The 18,353-nt window shown below is 40.1% G+C and overlaps 1 pseudogene across 3 annotated transcripts in view; it reads left to right on the forward strand.

Annotated features, from left to right (window-relative positions):
* GBA3 (glucosylceramidase beta 3 (gene/pseudogene)) overlaps positions 1-18,151 on the forward strand; it is a 126,633-nt pseudogene extending 108,482 nt beyond the window's left edge. For all 3 annotated transcript variants that reach the window (NR_102355.2, NR_102356.2, NR_102357.2), the window contains one exon: positions 17,303-18,151. The product of NR_102355.2 is annotated as a glucosylceramidase beta 3 (gene/pseudogene), transcript variant 1, non-coding (transcript). The remainder of the gene's footprint in view (positions 1-17,302) is intronic.
* The last annotated feature ends 202 nt before the right edge of the window (positions 18,152-18,353 follow it).

Raw genomic sequence — 18,353 nt, forward strand, 5'->3', positions numbered from 1 at the left:
GAAGTATCATGTGCAAGGGAAGTATCAGGTGCCATCTTTGGCAATCTTCTCATGTTCTCCTTGAATCTGAAAAGCATTGAAAGATAGTATCATGGCTACATATTTGTTGAGAGCTTAGAGATAAAAAGAGTTTAGAAATACTGTTGATTGTGTAAGTAAATGTTCCTCCCTGCCTCCAACCTTTCCCTCCTTGCTCCCTTCTTCCCTCCCTTCCTTCCTTCCTTTCTTTCCTTTCTTTTCCTTTCCCTTCCCTTCCCTTCCCTTCTCCTCCCTTCCCCTCCCCTCCCTTCCCCTCCCTTCCCCTCCCCTCCCCTCCCCTTCCCTTCCTTCCCCTCAATATGTTTCCCAAATAACAACCCTTAGTCAAAGAAGCTCATCTTTTTGCATGTTATTGATGCCATCATCAATGCCTCTAGGAAGCAACACTTACTTCTTTTATGTGTCTCCAGGTCTACCATGTAATTTTGTAGTTAAAATCTTCATTTCATCTATTGCTATTGGTTCTACATTCTTCATTTTATAGTAAAAGTATGATATCCTTCTATGACACAAGTCAAAGGCTCTTTTGATGTTGAACAAGTGGTTCGGGGGAAAAAGAATCTTAGCAGGAAAGACTCAGCCACTATATCATTGTGCATAATGATTAGGCTAAGCCATCTTATATAAAATCCATACTTAAAATCTTAACAGGTACCACTGTACACTGTTTAGAGTAAATAAATAAAAGGGTTTCAAATTTTATGTAGACTCTTAGTTTGGGAAGAGATTTGAGTGCAGTGGATCTATAATAATCATCCATTCCAAACCAGTCATTTAATCATGTGAACACTCACAGATACACATGTCTTGTTCATGGATAAGCTAATTAAAGACAGAGGTGGAAACAGCACTTGGGGCTTCAAAGTGGATCACACTGCCCAGGGCCTTGGGAGAGGTCAGTGAAAATGACACATGAACATAGTTTCAACCCCAATGTAACTCATACCTTCTCTTTAATAACTAGCTGGCAGACCCTCATTTATTTTTCAAGATTCTATTCAAATCCCCTTTCCTTTGGAAAGTTGTCCATGAACTTCCCAGAAGGGCTAAGTGATCCCTTCCTTTGTACCTCAAGTTCTTTTTTTTTTTTTCTTCTCTTTTTGAGAGGGAGTCTTGCTCTGTCACCCAGGCTGGAGTCAGTGGCACAATCTCAGCTCCCTGCAACCTCTGCCTCTTGAGTTCAAGCAATTCTCCTGCCTCAGCCTCCTGAGTAGTTGGGACTACAGGTGCGTGCCACCACACCCAACTAATTTTTGTATTTTTAGTAGAAACAGGGATTCACCATATTGGCCAGGCTGGTCTCGAACTCCTGACCTCACGATCCGCCTGCCTCAGCCTCCCAAAGTGCTGGGATTACAGGCATGAGCCACCGTGCCAGGCCCATACCTCAAGTTCTTTTATAGCTCTTGTTTCTCTGTGTTTCCAGACCAGTTCTTTTGGGTCTACTTTTCCAATGAGACCATTTATAGCTGAGGGCAGAAACTACGTGCCATTTATCTCTAAATCATCACCCTTAGCCTGGAGTCTGGCACATAATAACTGCTCAAATGGATATTTGTGGAGTGATAATGAACAAACTGTGCTTCTCACATATTTGGACCAGATGTGGAGTCACAGGGCTCACTTGTGAAGGAAAGCTGCTCATATCCCCTCCGCCCCTGACATTCCTGACGAATGATGTTCAGCCTAAATGTATGTCAAATGCTCTCCTGTCTTTCCAGGGCTGCACAGTTGCATTGCTTCTTTTTCTTTTCAGGAAGACTGGAGGGTTTTGTATGCGATGTTGGAGTCTCCAGAGTTTAGGAGGAGAGATATATATCATGGCTCTTATTCTGAGGCCTATAAGGAGTTTTATTTTCTGAATAAGTATTGATCGCAGCTTACAAAATACTGCAAACCCATATAATTAAAAATAATGAGACCAGTCATTTGTGGGCAGTGCATGGCTAAATATAAGAGAAGACAAATTCTTCAGGTGCCTGAGATTTTATAATTGTACTTGGTTGGGAAGCTTATTAAAGCCTTGCAGGTGCAATGTTTCCTCACAGAGTAGTGAACCTTTGAAAGATATGCATAATAAACAGAGTTTGAAATATGTTTTTATTCCAGGCCATATGGTCCTGTCTGGAGCTTTCCTGGATCTTTGGGTCAGTTCATTGTTGAAAGATGGGCTTGCAAGGACCCACCTCTCGGAGCAGCTGTCAGAGCCCTATCAGAACGAATCTGCTTTTGCATGATTATTTATTTTATGTGGCTCTCTGAAATGAGCCCAGCCCTGCTCAGTAGCTGAAATGTGCTGAGCAAAGTCTCTTCCCTGAACAGCTTGTGGCCATATCACCAAGCAGTGTCCTTCCTTGTCCTTAAAAAGCAGACTAGCGAGACTTGTACATTAGGTCAGGATGGACAGTCTGGGTGAGGTTTGCCCACCTGGGCTTGAACTTGGTGCCAGCAATATGAAAACTTACACGGTAGCATTTTAAAGAGGTGTCATTGCTCTTTCTTCTCAGCTGTACTAATTTTCCTATCTCTCTCAACTCTAGGCAATTACTGTGACAGCTGTCCATAAGTACTTGAGGTGTTTTTGTGGTGTAGTGGTGAGAACAATGCTAACACAGCCTCTCCTTTTGTAACAGAGGGTGGCATTGACTCCTCTGAGAATGTCTTTTAAGAGGCATTTAATATAATTTATTCAGTATTTATTGCACATATATATATATGTATATATACACAAATAGCAGTTATTGACAAGAGACTTGGTTTTGAAGTCCAGTGATCACAAGAAGATGTTCTGTTTCCTAACATAGAAAATGGGCAGTGAGTTGATCAGAATGGAAGAAGGTTAAATCTCATATCTCTTTATGGTTATTTGAAAAAGTTGAAGTTGAATTTTGTCATCTTGGTCAAGGGGAAAATCTTGCCGTTTTAGGAAGCGTCTTTCATCTACTCTTATACTGCTGACATTATATTCAATATCATATATATTTGTAGCCATTTGTTCATTTGGACTATATTCAGTAAGCACCTGTCCTTTACTAGCCACTGTGCTAAGACTTGAGAATGCAAGAGCCCCAGAATTCTTGCACTCCTGGAACTTAGAATCTGAAGTAGAAGACAGACATTGAAAATATAGTTAATTATGTCTTACATATGTTACAAAAAGAAAGTGAAAGATATTGAATGAATGTACATAGCAAGAAAACCTATGTGTGGTCTTTGGAGTCTACTTGCCTTAAAGGAAAAGTCTATGTCAAATTTCTTTCCTCCTATATAGGAGTCACTCTGCCTGAAACAATAAATTGTATATAGTACTAGATGCTTATTTTGGTCCATTTTCTGCTGTTATAACAGAATATCTCAGACTGGTTAATGTATAAAGAATAGAGACTTATTTCTTACAGTCCTGGTGGATGGGAAGTCCAAGATAGAGGACCTTCTTGCTATGTCATAACATGGCAGAAGCCATCATGTAGTGAGGGTTGGGGGGGAGAGAGAGAGAGAGAGAGAGAGAGAGAATGATATAAATATCTTCCATTAGGCCCCATCTCCCAATACTGAGGCATTCGGGATCAAGTTTCCAACAAATGCTTTTTGGGGAACATGTGGAAACCATAGCATTACTTAATAAAAATTTGTGGATATAATGGAGAATGAAAGTAAGAAGAAGAAAGTGTAAAGATTATTTTGTTAATTCAGGCTACAGTTTAATAAATTATAATTTGAAATACCTAAATTAGTTTTATGGTAAAACTACATATTTTTCTTTTGCCGCCACATTCAGTGTTGCCATTTTAAAATTTACCCATGGTAACTATTTTTCCATTTCTGGAGTCATAGAACCTAGAACTTAACTTCTTACTTGAGTACAGAAATATGAGACTCTGATATTTCTCTCCAGGGTATCAGCTACTTTCTTTTGGGGATATTCTTAGGTGTCTTTGGTTGGTAGAAATGAGCTATTTCTTTTTTTCTTTTTTTTCTTTTTTCTTTCTTTCTTTTTTTTCTTTTTTTTTTTTGAGATGGAGTCTCACTCTGTGGCCCATGCTGGAATGCAGTGGCTTGATCTCGGCTCACTGCAACCTCCACCTCCCGAGTTCAAGCAATTCTCCTGCCTCAGCCTCACGAGTAGCTGGGACTACAGGTGCATGCCACCACACCCAGCTAATTTTTAATTTTTTAGTAGAGATGGGGTTTCACCATGTTAGCCAGGCTGGTCTCGAGCTCCCGACCTCAGGTGATCCACCCGCCTTGGCCTCCCAAAGTGCTGGGATTACCGCAGTGAGCCACCGTGCCTGGCCAAAATGAACTATTTCTATATACAAGTAGATCAATATTCTTATGGACTAAAAAGTGGTAGCTATTTCAAAGTGTGTATCTTAGGCCTAGGGATAAAATCACATGATGGAAAATGTTTTCTTCCATCTGTACTATGGTAACCTAAGGGACTCCCAGGACCAGGGAGACACCATTCAAGTTTCAGGCTGTGCCCAGGAGAGTGTGGTGCTATTACCCCAGAATATCTGAAGCTTTCAGAGTTAACAGATCAAGAGGAAAACACTCAAGAGGACTGCCCAGAAATGCAGCCAAGGGCCAAATAGAGAGTTCTTGAGAAGCATTGGGAATCAGAGTTGGAAGTGTGGTAGCAGCCACTGAGACAGTGGAGGAGCTTTTAGGCAGTGTCATAAAGTAGAAGGACAGTGGTAAGCGATGGGGAATACTTGGTCTGAATGGATGGAGAGTTGAAATCATCAGGTTGGGACTGGAAGCAGAGGCTGGTTGTGATGGGAGACGGAGACTACCGGCAGTGGTAGTCCATCTTAATCCAGAGATTAAGATGCTGGATAAGGACTTGAAATCAATGGCCACCGAAGCCTTTGTTGTTCAGCCTGGAGATGCTGTGATTCCACCACCCAGATGGGAATAGTGAGACCAGAGTCCTATTAAAGTCATGTTAAGATGATCCCTCTTTGCTCCTTCCCTTTCTTCCTTCCTCTCTCCCTCCCTCCCTGCTTTCTTTCATTCCTTCTCCTCTCATATCTCTTTCCCTCCCTCTCCCACTTGTTCCTTCAGCAAGTGTTTACTTAGCCTCTACTATGTGCTACTTATTGTTCTCAGGGTGGGGTATATTAAAAAGAATAGATGAATATGATCTCTTTTTCTCATGAGCCTTTCCATCTTCTGGGGGAAAATAATACAACATGAGTAAATACATGAAGAAAACACTTTATTTTAATGGTAAGGGCCACAAAGAAAACGATACATGATGACATGAGAGAGAATGGGTTGGTTAGGAATAGAATTTTAAACTGGAGAGTTAGAAAAGACTAACTAAGGTTGAATTGGAACTAAGACCTTAATGGCAACAAAGGATCATAAAGTGATTGATCCAGAATGATCCAGGCAGATGGAAAAGCTAGTGTAAAGGCCATGAGATGGTCAAGAGCTGGCACATTCCAAGAAGAAAAAGGATCTCAGTGTCCCTGGAAAATGGCAAGTAGAGAGCAGTGCCTCATCATATAGGACTTTGAAGGTCATAGAAGGATTTTTGCTATTAGGGGTCTGGTGTTCCAGGTGCTTCTCCCACTTCCAACCACTTCATGCTCTCCACTTGGTCTAGCATTGTTCCTCCCATAGTGGCTTTGACTCTTGCTTGTCACTTCTAGTCCTTGTATTCTAGATTTGCAATCTTTCAATGTTATCCATATGGAAAGATCATGGGCTTTGGAGTCAGACAGCCTTTGGTTCTATCCTCAGATTCTCCTTGTATTGGCTGTGTGACTTCTGTAAAATCATATCCACAGAAAGCATCTCTTGTGATTTTATCAGCTTAAGGGTCTGGGGGTATTTCTGGCCCTCTTTCTCTGTCTCCCTTTTCCAGCCTGTCTTTAAAAGCTGGAATGCTGTAAGGCTTGTACCAAAGTCTTGTTTTCTTATTCTCTAAATTCTATTCAACATCCATGATTTCAATTACCATCTCCCCATCATTATCCAAAGTTTCCACCTCCATCTCGGACTCTACTTTGAGCTCTTTATCTGTTTATGCAATTACCTTTTCAGCTCTTTCTTTGGAGGTCAAAAAAGGTAACGTAAAGTCATCATAACCAAAGTTTGATTCATTATCTTCCCTGCCACTCCCCTAAAACTTATCTGTGTTCAATATTTTCTAATTCAGACATTGACAATATTCATTAAATTGTGCTAACTTTGCTTTCTTATCTCCTTCTGCACTGATAGTCAGTGAATTGCTGAATCTTGTTGATTTTTATCTGAATATCTCCTCTGTTGAATCCATCTGGTTTGCTCCATCTTCACTTAAGCCACCCAAGACCAACCTCTCATCATCTCCGTTGTGATTTACTGTAATCACTCCTAAATGCTCTCTTTGATTCCATTCTTGCTACACTCAAATCTGTTTTCCACAGAGGTCACAGTAATCTTTTAAAAATACAAATTAGCTAAAGTAACTCCCCTGCTTAAAACCCTTCGATTTTTGTTGTTGTTGTTGTTGCTGTTGGGATAAAGATCAAAATTTTTAAAATCTTTAAAGGGAGCTGAATGTCTCAGGCACTACTTTGCGACTTTCTCCCCATAAATTTTTTATAATATATCCTGCTGAACTGTCTTTTTTAAGTTCCTTAAATGTGTTGTGACCCCTTCCCATAGCTGAGCTTTCAGATATGCTATTTTGTTTTCTTGGATTGCTCTTGTCGTTCTTCATCTAGTGCTGTAGACATCTGTCATGTTTTCGGCTGTCTAGCGTTTGTTGAACACATTGGTTACATTTGAAAGATATCCAGCATTATGAGTTTTGTCTAGCCAAGGTAGAGAGTGAGATTCCCCAGGTTTCTCTGGAGCAAGGGAACAGACATGTGTCCCACCAGTCAGACTCATCTGTGTGTGAATTTAATTCAAGGGGAACAGCTTGACAAAGGCAAAACCTATTGTGCTGGTAAGGATGGCAGAAGAGACATCCAGCTTTTGAGAATGATAGTCCTTGTAAGGTCTAGTTTCTGGTACAGAAGTTGCCAAGATGTTGGTGTCTGCTAGGATTGCAAGAAAGTTGGATGTGGGGAGCCACATGAACTGCAGAAGCTCACGCTCATTGGGTCATTAGCAGTTGAGGCAGTTTCTTTCTTTTTTTTTCTTTGAGATGGAGTCTTAGTCTGTCGCCCAGGCTGGAGTGCAGTGACGTGATCTCGGCTCACTGCAAGCTCTGCCTCCTGGGCTCAAGCAATTCTCCTGCCTCAACCTCCCAAGTAGCTGGGACTATAGGTGCCTGCCACCACTCCCGGCTAATTTTTTGTGTTTTTAGTAGAGATGGGGTTTCACGCTGTTAGCCAGGATGGTCTTGATCTCCTGACCTCATGATCCGCCTGCCTCAGCCTCCCAAAGTGCTGGGATTACAGGAGTGAGCCACCGCACCTGGCCCAAGGCTGTTTCTTTAACCAACTAGTTCTGTGGTGTGCTTCTGAGCACTGTTCCTGAGAGCTTTATTTGAGCTTGTTTTTTCAGCCCAACACTTTCTATGCTTCAATAGCCAACTTCAGCTTCTGTTGCTTACAACCGAGAAAGAGCCCTGCTGGTTAGTGCTAGGTAATCCAACTCATTTGTGGGCACTCAGCTCTAGTTTACTCCAGGAAACTGTTCCATTAGCCTTATTCTGCCACTTTTGCTGATTAAGGCAGATCTTCCACTCTCGTGTGCTGTCAAGACTCAGTATGGCATGATGGCTTCACCTGCTGCTGCTGTTGTTACTCTGCCTGGGTTTCTATGTCAACTCTCCTACTTGCTTGATGTATGAATTTTGCAAAGGTTACCTAACCGCTCTGTGTATCAATTCCTTTACCTATAAAATAGCGACACTGATAATAACTATCTAACTCATAGGTTGATTGTAAAGACTAAATGGATGAATGCATACATGAAATCCTTAAAGTGGTAACTAAATGTTCAATAATTGTTAACTAAAATGTTCTCACATTACCCACTTCTTTCTTTTCACACTACTTTTCACAGACAGTAATTTGATACTCACAGAGTGATAATTTGATTTAGATATACCTTCCACATAAGCTGTAAATGAAGGGCTGCTTATTTTGTTCATCATTGTATTCGCAGTTCCTAGCACAACGTATATTTACTTAATGGATGTAGGATGGATGTTGCAGGATCCCAAAAACCTTGAGTGATGCCATCTCCATCTCCCAGCACACTAAAGCAGGGGAGCTTCAGCAGTATCCAGTGTTCCTGGCAGAATCACCCCGAGCTCCTTGTTTTTGCTGATTATTTCTTGTGACCCACAACTGACCCGTTCTCACAGAGCACAAACCCTGTCCCAGATGCTGAACTTGCCCTCTATGCCCTGATTTCTCTGCTTCTCAGCACCGATCATTTTGTGCTGACTCTATACCCTCTGAAAGCTGTTTGAAGCCAGATGGGAGAAAGAGATAAAACAGATTTCATTCATTGCCCTCCCAGACTCTGAGGGAAATAAAAACAATAGCAACAACGAGGTAGTTTATATTGGGTGTTTACTAGGCATTATTCATTATTTAATACGCACCACAATCCTATGAAAATGATACTATAACCCCATTTTGCAGAAGAGGAAAGTAAGTCCCAGAGGAGAAAAACAAAAGAAAGAAAGGAAAGTAGAGAGAAAGGGAGGGAACGGGGTAAGGAAGGCAGCTTTTCCAATAGAAGAGAAATTCCCTTGCTGAGAAGAAATTTCATTCCCATAAAAGAAACTTCTCTACTGGAGGATAAGATACTGTAAAAATAATATTGATAGAGAAGTTATAGAAGATGACCCAGAACATGAACCTAGCCTCAGATCAGCTTTAACATTTAGATTTTTAAAATATAATTCCTTTCAACTACTTGCTATTTGCAGCCTTTTCTCTCCAAAGTCTAATGTAAGTAGTAGGAATAATACTGATAATTAAGAAATCTGTGCAGTTTTTTTCTGGTTAATTGGCATTTTCCTATAAAATATTTAAAAATTAGCTTTTGGTTTTCAAAGACTCTCTTTTCAGAAAGTCATAGTTTTTGCTATTAAGAGTTCCCGTCTGCAGGTGGGGCTTCCTGCACTGGGATTATTTGGGCATTTTCACAGATGTTGTCCAGCCACTGATATTCAGCTGGAGTTGGAGTGGGGGGCTTATGATGCATTTTCTATGTTTAGATCTTCCTGATGTTGTTTTATTTTTTTTTCCAATGAAAAGAGAAAACAGCCAACATGCCAGTTTTCTTGTAAAAACTGTTATCCAGCTAGAGATGCCCTCCAATTGTAATGCTCTTGTGCATTTCAACCAAACTCAAAGAAACACATTTTCAAAGTGAGTGTGGGTGCAATTGCCAGAAAATTGGCTTCAAGCTGGGTCCCCGGAAGGCTTTCTTTCTCCAGCTTTGACAGGCCTTGAGAGAGGTTCTCATAAGACCCCAGGAAGATCAGGTGGGTGGTTTGGGACTCAGAGCCCAGTTGGCAACCACTCTAAAAGAGCATGGTGCATTAGTTTCCCGTGGCTGCTGTGAGAAATTACCACAAACCTGGTGGCTTTAAACAACAGAAATTTATTCTCTCACAGTTGTGGAGGCCAGAAGTCTAAAATTAAGGTGTCAGCAGGACCGGTTCCTTTTGGAGGCTCTAAGGGAGAATTTACTCCATGCTTCTATACTGGCTTCTGGTGGCTGCTGGCAACCCTTGGTGTTCCTTGGCTTGCAGATGTATCACTCCAATCTCTGCCTCTGTCTCCACGTTGTCTTCTTTCCTGCGTGTCTTTGCCCTTTCTCTTATCTTCTGAGGACACTTGCCATTGGATTTAGGGCACACTGTCTTCCAGGATGATCTCATCTTGAGATCCTTAATTTAATTACATTCTCAAAGACCCTTTTCCCAAATAAGGCCACATTCACAAGTTTTGGGTAGACAGACTTATCCTTTGCAGGGGCCACCATTAATCCACACACATGGTGAACTGAGAGAACTTTCCTGATCCACTGGGGATGAAGCTGGATTTCAGCTAAGCAGTGGGCTAAAAAGGCATTTGGCCCTGCTGAGCCAAAGCATCTTCTTAGTTTCTCAGTGATCGCCATACATTTCTGAAAGGAGATACGGCATTTTTCAGCAGAGGCTAACTTCTCGCTATGTCCTCACATGGTCTTTCCTCTGTCCATGTGCCTTCCTGGTGTTTATTTTACCTTGGGTTCGGCCTTCCTTATTATTTCATTTACTCTTTTTAACATCACTAGGAGTAGATAATAGTGTCTCCATTGTATTCATGAGAAATGAGAGGCTCCTTCCAGCTAGCAACTGGTGCAGCTGGGATTAAAATGTAAGCCTGTAGAGGTTCCCTTTCCAAACATGTCACCTCAGTGTTTCTGGGTTCCTAACCTTGAAGATATTTCAGGCTTGTCTGTTTTCCTTAAGCATGGTAAATGTGGTTGTTGTACAGTCTGTATGACAGTTCTAATAACTAAGTGCTTTGTGGATTTGTTTCTGTTGTCTGTTGATTGTGGTTATTTATTTTTCTTTATGTCATAATTTTCCATGTCTTTCTGGTTATATATGATTATGTGCTGATGATTATACTTAAAATATTGTAATAACTATTGGAGTTTTAGAATATACAGATCACTCTTTTCAAAAATAACTTGAATGTCCATCTGCCAGGTACTTGGGGGTACTACCAGTATGCCATCACCTCAAACCAAGATCCAGACTTTACACTTGTTGAACCACCGGGGATTAAACTCAAGACTTTCCAATGACTAGTTTGTCTCTGGCACTCTCTCACCATTACACGGAGTGTTTTATCTTTTGAGTGTGTAGTCTTCTCTGGGTGGGGTCTCATACTAGACTTCCCACCTGCTATGACTCTGAGTTTTGACATCTAGCTTTACCCCAGGAAACAGAAAAAGATTTAGATTTTCTAAGATTGGAACATGCCATCAGGCAAAAGTAGCTCTCATGTCTACCAACCTCAAATTCCACTTTCAAATTTGACTTGTTAATTCTCTACTAACTTGTCAGATTTCCATTGTTTTGAAGATTTATTTTTAAAAACTATATTCAGCCTTCTTTACTTACTTTCCTTAGGAAGGTTTCCTTGAATATTATAGCTTGCCATTAGCTAAACAGAAAAATCTAGAGGCCTATATATTTTTTCTCCCTGCTCATTCCTGGCACTTTACTCCTCTCTTTTTTTTCCTTTGTGAGGCGGCTGCTTTTTGCACTGTCCTGAATTTTTCCATTGATTCTTGACATGGCAGCTTGGGTCTATGGATGAGTGGTTTTTTTTTGATAGCTTGATAGTTTTGTCACATCCACAGGTATCTTATATATAAGTCCTAGACCATCGTGAAAACAAAGACTACCTCTGTTTATAAATTGTGGAAAAATAAATTCCATTGATGCTGAGCTTCCAATTTCTAGAGTTTTGTAATGTGACAAACACAAGCATAATTAGGATGTTTCATAAACCAGCAACTTAAAAAGATTCTGCCCCTTGTCATAAAATAATGAGTTTCTAAAATAATGTCTCTATGTATATGAGTATGCACACACGTGTAGTGAAGAATTAAATTTTGTCCAAAGAGCGGTTTGGTTTTTGCACTCAGCTTCTAAGAGGCAATCTATATCATAATTGAAAAAAATCTCTTTGTTTAGGTTGGGAGCTCATCACATCAGGAAGACCAATCACATTTAATGTGGGGGCTTTAGGTTCCTGGCATCAGTTAACCAGGAAACTGAGTTAATCCACTTGGGCAATCAATTGATCAATCATGCCTCTATAATAAAGCCCTTGTGATGGTTAATACTGAGTGTCAACTTGATTGAATTGAAAAATGCAACATTGATCCTTGGTGTGTCTGTGAGGGTGTTGCCAAAGGAGATTAACATTTGAGTCAGTGGGCTGGGGAAGGCAGACCCACCTTTAATTGGGTGGGCACCATCTAATCAGCTGCCAGTGAGTATAAAGCAAGCAGAAATTGGGTGGGCACCATCTAATCAGCTGCCAGTGAATACAAAGCAAGCAGAAAAACATGAAGAGACAAGACAGGCCTAGCCTCCCAGCCTACGTCTCTCTCCCATGTTGGATGCTTCCTGCCCTCAAACATTGGACTCCAAGTTCTTCAGTTTTGGGACTCAGACTGGCTCTCCTTGCTCCTCAGCCTGCAGACAGCCTATTGTGGGACCTTGTGATCATGTAAGTTAATACTTTATATATAAAGCGTAGTTTATATACATATATATCCTATATACATAATATATCCTATTAGTTCTGTCCCTCTAAGAGAACCCTAATACAGCCCCCAATAAAAACTCTGTACACTAAAACTCAGGTGTGCTTTCCTAGTTGGCAATTCTCTATGTGTATTGTGCACGTTAATACCAGGAAGACAATGCATTTGACTCCCAGGGGAGTCATATGGAAACTTCATGTTTGGAACCCCTCAGGTCCTGTGCTATGCATTTATTTCTTTAGCCAATCTCTATCTCTTCCTGTAATAAATCAGAACTGTGACTATAACAGTTTTCTGTGAATTTTGTGAGTCTTTTTAGCAAATTACCAAAACTGAAGGTTTGGCAAACCCTTGATCTTGTGGTTGGTGTCACAGTGAGGACAGTCTTATGGTTGATGTTATGCCCTCAACCTTTTCAGTCTGGCTAACTGGGCAGTGCATTTATGTGTGCATGTGTGTGTGAGAGAGTGTGTGTGTGTGCGTGTGTGCGCGCATGTGTAGAGTACAACACTAGCATAGGGTTTTTTTTTTTTTTGGCAGAGTGTCACTCTGTCACCCAGGCTAGAGTGCAGTGGTGCGATCTTGTCTCACTGCAACCTCTGCCTCCTGGGTTCAAGAAAGTCTTCTGCCTCAGCCTCCCATGTAGATGGGACTACAGGCACATGCCACCATGCCTGGCTAATTTTTGTATTTTTAGTAGAGATGGTTTTTCACCATGTTGGCCAGGCTGGTCTCGAACTCCTGACCTCAGGTGATCTGCCGCCCGTTTTGGCCTCCCAAAGTGCTAGGATTACAGGTGTGAGCCACCGTGCCTAGCCTGCATAGGGTATTTATAATTAGAACAGCCCGAAAGAAGCTATAACATATTAGCAAGGCTTAGATACTTCTCTTACACTTTTATTTCCAACCTGCTTACTGTGAGACGTTTTCCACTGATCTTGTAGTCCAAACCCATACCCTGACTTTGTGATGCATGTCATTTTTATCCTAGTGTGCTCCATACTCACCCAAAGCTCCTGTGTTTATTTTGACTCCAACTCTGGAAACAGAAAGTGAACTCATAGAAGTGTTTTTTTTCCCCCTGGCAAGATTTAAGACCTCATAAATCATGGTGGCAAGAAATGTAATGATGGTCTCTTTTGGTTCTTGAGGAGATTGGAAGAGGAGAGGCATGCAGGTTCCAGTGTGGTTTTGTAATTTTTCCCAGTGGTGGCAAGTGAGGAAGATTCCAGCAGGCTAGTTCCTCAGTCTTAACTAAGTAATTCTCTACTTCAATGTTCCTGCAATGAAAATGCACAGACATTCACCAGTGTCACTCGGGCAGTTTAGTGCCTGCTGCAGAACTCCTGGCAGTTAACAATGAAATTGTCAAGATTTCCTTTTTGTTCCCTTCCAAGCAGGCAAGGCATCGTTTTTGTCCAGTGGTTTAGCACATGAATCAATCCTTTTATATGTGATCAGTGGGACCATGTGTGTTTTCAGAAACTGTCTGGCTTTATACCTGGCAGGGTTTCTTGTTGGGCAGTGGTTCTGCAAATGAGAAAGAAAATATGCAAATTCTCACATGTCCCCAGGTTGAATTACAAGGCAAAAGAGACTATTGCTTTCTGGCCTGGTATTTGGCTTTGAGATAAATATATATATATATATATATATATATATATATATATATATATATATATATTTTTTTTTTTTTTTTTTTTTTTTTTTTTTTTTGAGTTAGAGTCTCACTCTGTTGCCCAGACTGGAGTGCAGTGGCATGATGTCGGCTCACTGCAACCTCTGCCTCCCAGGTAAAAGTGATTCTCCTGCTTCAGCCTCTCAAGTAGCTGGGACTACAGGTGCCCGCCACCACGCCCAGCTAATTTTTGTAATTTTGGTAGAGATAGGGTTTCACCATGTTGGCCAGGCTGGTCCCAAACTCCTGACCTCAGGTGATCCAGCCACCTCGGCCTCCCAAAGTGCTGGGATTAAAGGCATGAGTCACCACGCCTGGCCAGACCATTTTGATTCTTAGAGATATGCCATCCAGTACTTAAACTGGGTTCTTAAAAAAATAAATTATATAAAACATTGATATTTCCAGATTATAACTGACATAGCAAATGTGGACAGGTAGGAGAAAAAGGGATATCTAGTAATGCTTTTATTCATGCACAGCTTAATGTGCTTATTGCTATATTTCTTATTTCTCAACAATATTTATTTAAAAAGAGCTAATATGTAAATCTGTACAACCACTATGGAGTACAGTGTGGAGGTTCCTCAAAAAACTAAGAATAGAGCTACCATCCAGCCATCCCACTGCTGGGTATGTACCCCAAAGAAAGGAAATCAGTGTATTGAAGGAATATCTGCATGGCCATGTTTGTTACAGCACTGTTCACAATAGCCAAGATTTGGAAGCAACCTAAGTGTTCATCAATCAATGAATAGATAAAGAAAATGTGGTACATATACACAATGGAGTACTATTTGGCCATAAAAAAGAGTGAGATCCAGTTATTTGCAACAACATGGATGGAACTGAAGGACATTATGTTAAGTGAAATAAGCCAGGCATAGAAAGACAAACTTCACATGTTCTCACTTATTTGTGGGAGCTAAAATTTAAAACAATTGAACTCATGGAGATAGAGAGTAAAATGTTAGTTACCAGAAGCTGGGAAGGGTAGTGGAGGGTTTGTAGGAGGGGGCAAAGTGGGAATGGTTAATGGTTATAAAAAATAGAGAGAATGAATAAAACCTAGTATTTGATAGCACAACAGGGTGACTACAGTCAATAATAATATAATTGTACATTAAAAAATAATTAAAAGTATAATTGGATTGTTTACAACACAAAGGATAATGCTTAAGGGGATGGATACATGAGATACTTCGATATAGACATGCAATGTGTAATAATAACATCATGATAAATCACATCAGTTACCGTGTGGTCGTGGTTGGTGTCACAGTGAGGACAGCCTTATGGTTGACACTGTACCCCGTGCCATTTACCATGATGTGGTTATTACACATTGCATGGCTATATCAAAATATCTCAGGTACCCCATAAATATATACACCTACTATGCACTCACAAAAATTGAAAATTAAAAAAAAATTAAAGGAGTCAATCCAGCTTGGCTTAATTCCTGCCTCAAGGCTATTTATAAAAAACTCTCTAAGCAAAGCAGATCTTACGCCTCCAGGCACAAATGTTGAGGGGGTTATACGTTAGACTGTTGGGGGCTTTTTGTCTACGGAATATCCATAGAAAAAAATTCCAAGAATGTTTGGAGAGCAACGCATGTGTAGTGGAATATAGATATAGTGCTTTTAAGAGACCTGAAATACAAAATGGACACCAATGAAAAAATTAAAGGTTAGGTATTATTTTGCTGAATATTTAGAGGAGTCATTTTGGTTGAAAGCAATCTCTGAAACAATTAAAATATGATTTAGTATATGAATGTTTATTCTCACCTAGCTTATTTAGACATATATCCACCTTATAAAGCAACTGGCCTTTTCATTTAATTTCTCTACTGAGAAATGGATATTTGGTGTTTTAGGAAGTGCATCCCATAGGTTGGGTTTATTTATTCTGGTTTTAAAAAAGAAAATGCGCAATGCAAGGACTCACAAGACCTCAGAGTTTTGCCAAGCTTAAAATGCTAAGAAAATGTAAGCTAAATTCCCTGAATAAAGTGATGGAAATCAGTGTGAAACTATGTGGAGAATAGTTATATGTGTTGAATCTACATTTTGATGTCTTAACATGGAGTCTGTGGATGGGCTTCTGGGCATCCACAAATAAAATCATACCAAATATTTATGAATGTATACACTTAGTGGAGAGATGCTCCATTGCTTTGGCTCTTAAAGGGCTTAAGCACCATTTTGAGTTTAGATATGGGGCAAAGAGGATGTGCTATGGATGGAAAGTTTTGTCCCCTCCAACCCCGCACAAATTCATATTGACACCTTAGCTCCCGGTATCCCAAAGGTGGGGCCTTTGGGTGGTGATTAAGTCATGTGGATGGAGCCCCCATAAATGGAATATGTGCCCTTATAAGTAGAGTATGAGAGCGCTCCCTGGCCCCTTCTGCCATATGAGGACACAGCAAGAAGACACTCATCTGTGAACAGGATACAGTCCCACACAAGACAGCAAATCTGTTGCCACCTTGATCTTGGACTTCCCAGCCTTCAGAACTGTGAGAAATAAATTTTTTCTTTTTATAAGCCACCCAGTGTATGGTGTGCTGTTATAGCCACCCTATCAGACTAAGAGAGGATGCCATAGCATTTCTGTACTCCCTCGGTCTAGGATATAGTCATGGCTGAAGCTGCGTGCTGACCCTTGACTCTTTTCATTTTGGAGGCTCTGTCTCCAGAATTATAAGACATGTCTCAGTTTGACCATGGGGACAGCAGGTAAGCTCTGAGGCTTCCTCAGGCATGCTACTGTTATCTCTTCCAATTTTCTAGTGGACTTTCTGGAATACCTGGAGGCTGTACTTACAAACGGAACAGTGTCTTTACTGAATATCCTTCTAGGTACCAGAGAGGAACTTGTGTGTGTATCTTTGTGCCTAAAAAGTGATAGGTACTGAAAAATTGTTCATTGAGTAAATGAATGAAGTAAATTCGAAATGAATGAATTGCCGAATAATTAGAATAATATATAACAACTTATTGAATTAAGCCCCTGCTTGATTCAAGCAGAAAACTGGAAAAGGGGATTTTTAAAATAGACAAATAAAAGTTGGATATATTTAAGGTGTACAGCATGATGCTTTGATATATGTACAGCATTGTAGAATGGCTAAATCAAGCGAATTAGAATGCATTACCTTACATACTTATCTCTTTTTTGTGGAAAAGGGGGATAGAGAACAGGTTTTGTCTTCTCCCACTGTGATCTCCTGCAGAGAAGGAGAAAGAGACCCAGACTGCTCATCAGTGATTTTGTCTGTGTTCTCATCAGGCCTTCCCAGAAATGATAATTTTCTTTTTTTTTAAATTTCAGCTATCCAACTTGATAAAGTCAATCTTCAAGTATATTGTGCATGGTCTCTTCTGGATAACTTTGAGTGGAACCAGGGATACAGCAGCCGGTTTGGTCTCTTCCACGTTGATTTTGAAGACCCAGCTAGACCCCGAGTCCCTTACACATCGGCCAAGGAATAAGCCAAGATCATCCGAAACAATGGCCTTGAAGCACATCTGTAGGCAAGATGGCTGAGAAATACAGGAGAGGCGTCTGCTTTTGGAAAGGAAATCTGCTTTGGTGATGATCTTTCAGGCAATCTCAACTTACTTCTTTAATCAACATTTAATATCAATGGATCTGTGATTAAATGTCTGAATATGTAATGCCTCGTGAAGTATTTAATAATGGCCTTTATTTGTATTTGGATCAATGAGGTTTTTAAAAAAAATGGAAGAGAAAACCACTAACCTTGATTTTTGTATTGCAAAATCAGATAGACCTGGAAACATAAATTTAAATCCTTAGACATTTTTCTAGAAAAAAATGCAAAGTTTATAAAGATGATACAACCATGATTTGCAACTGTAACAGGAGACCATTTATTATAAGCGTACCTGTTTGTGAACTTAATTATTCTGATTCCATAAGCTGTTTTTGCTTAGGTGATCCACTGCCATGTGATCCATAATTTTTCTACATAAAAAATCAAAGTTAAAAGTCACATTATACAGTTATGCATTCATTTCAACAAAATAGTGAATTGATAATCTACTTGTTAATATATTCGGCCCATATTTTGTGTGTTTGGACAAGTACATCTCCCTTTTGCCTAATGAACTTTTGAAAAATAATAAAATAATAGAATAAATTAGACTTTGAATGGCAGAAAAAGTATTTGAGTGTTGATGTTCAGTAAAAAACAGATTCCTAATTTGGCAGAGTGGTGCCAAATTAAAAGCTAAGTGATAAGCAGGGCATAATTTCCACTTTTGAATGTTTCTTTAAAGTTTAGAACCTTAAGAACCTCATGAAAAAAATACATGAAGTGAATGACCAACCTCAGTGTAAGCAAAGGTGGGGTGGGGAT

The sequence above is a fragment of the Homo sapiens genome, chromosome 4 (assembly GCF_000001405.40).
Source record: "Homo sapiens chromosome 4, GRCh38.p14 Primary Assembly".
NCBI classification, from domain to species: Eukaryota; Metazoa; Chordata; class Mammalia; order Primates; family Hominidae; genus Homo; species Homo sapiens.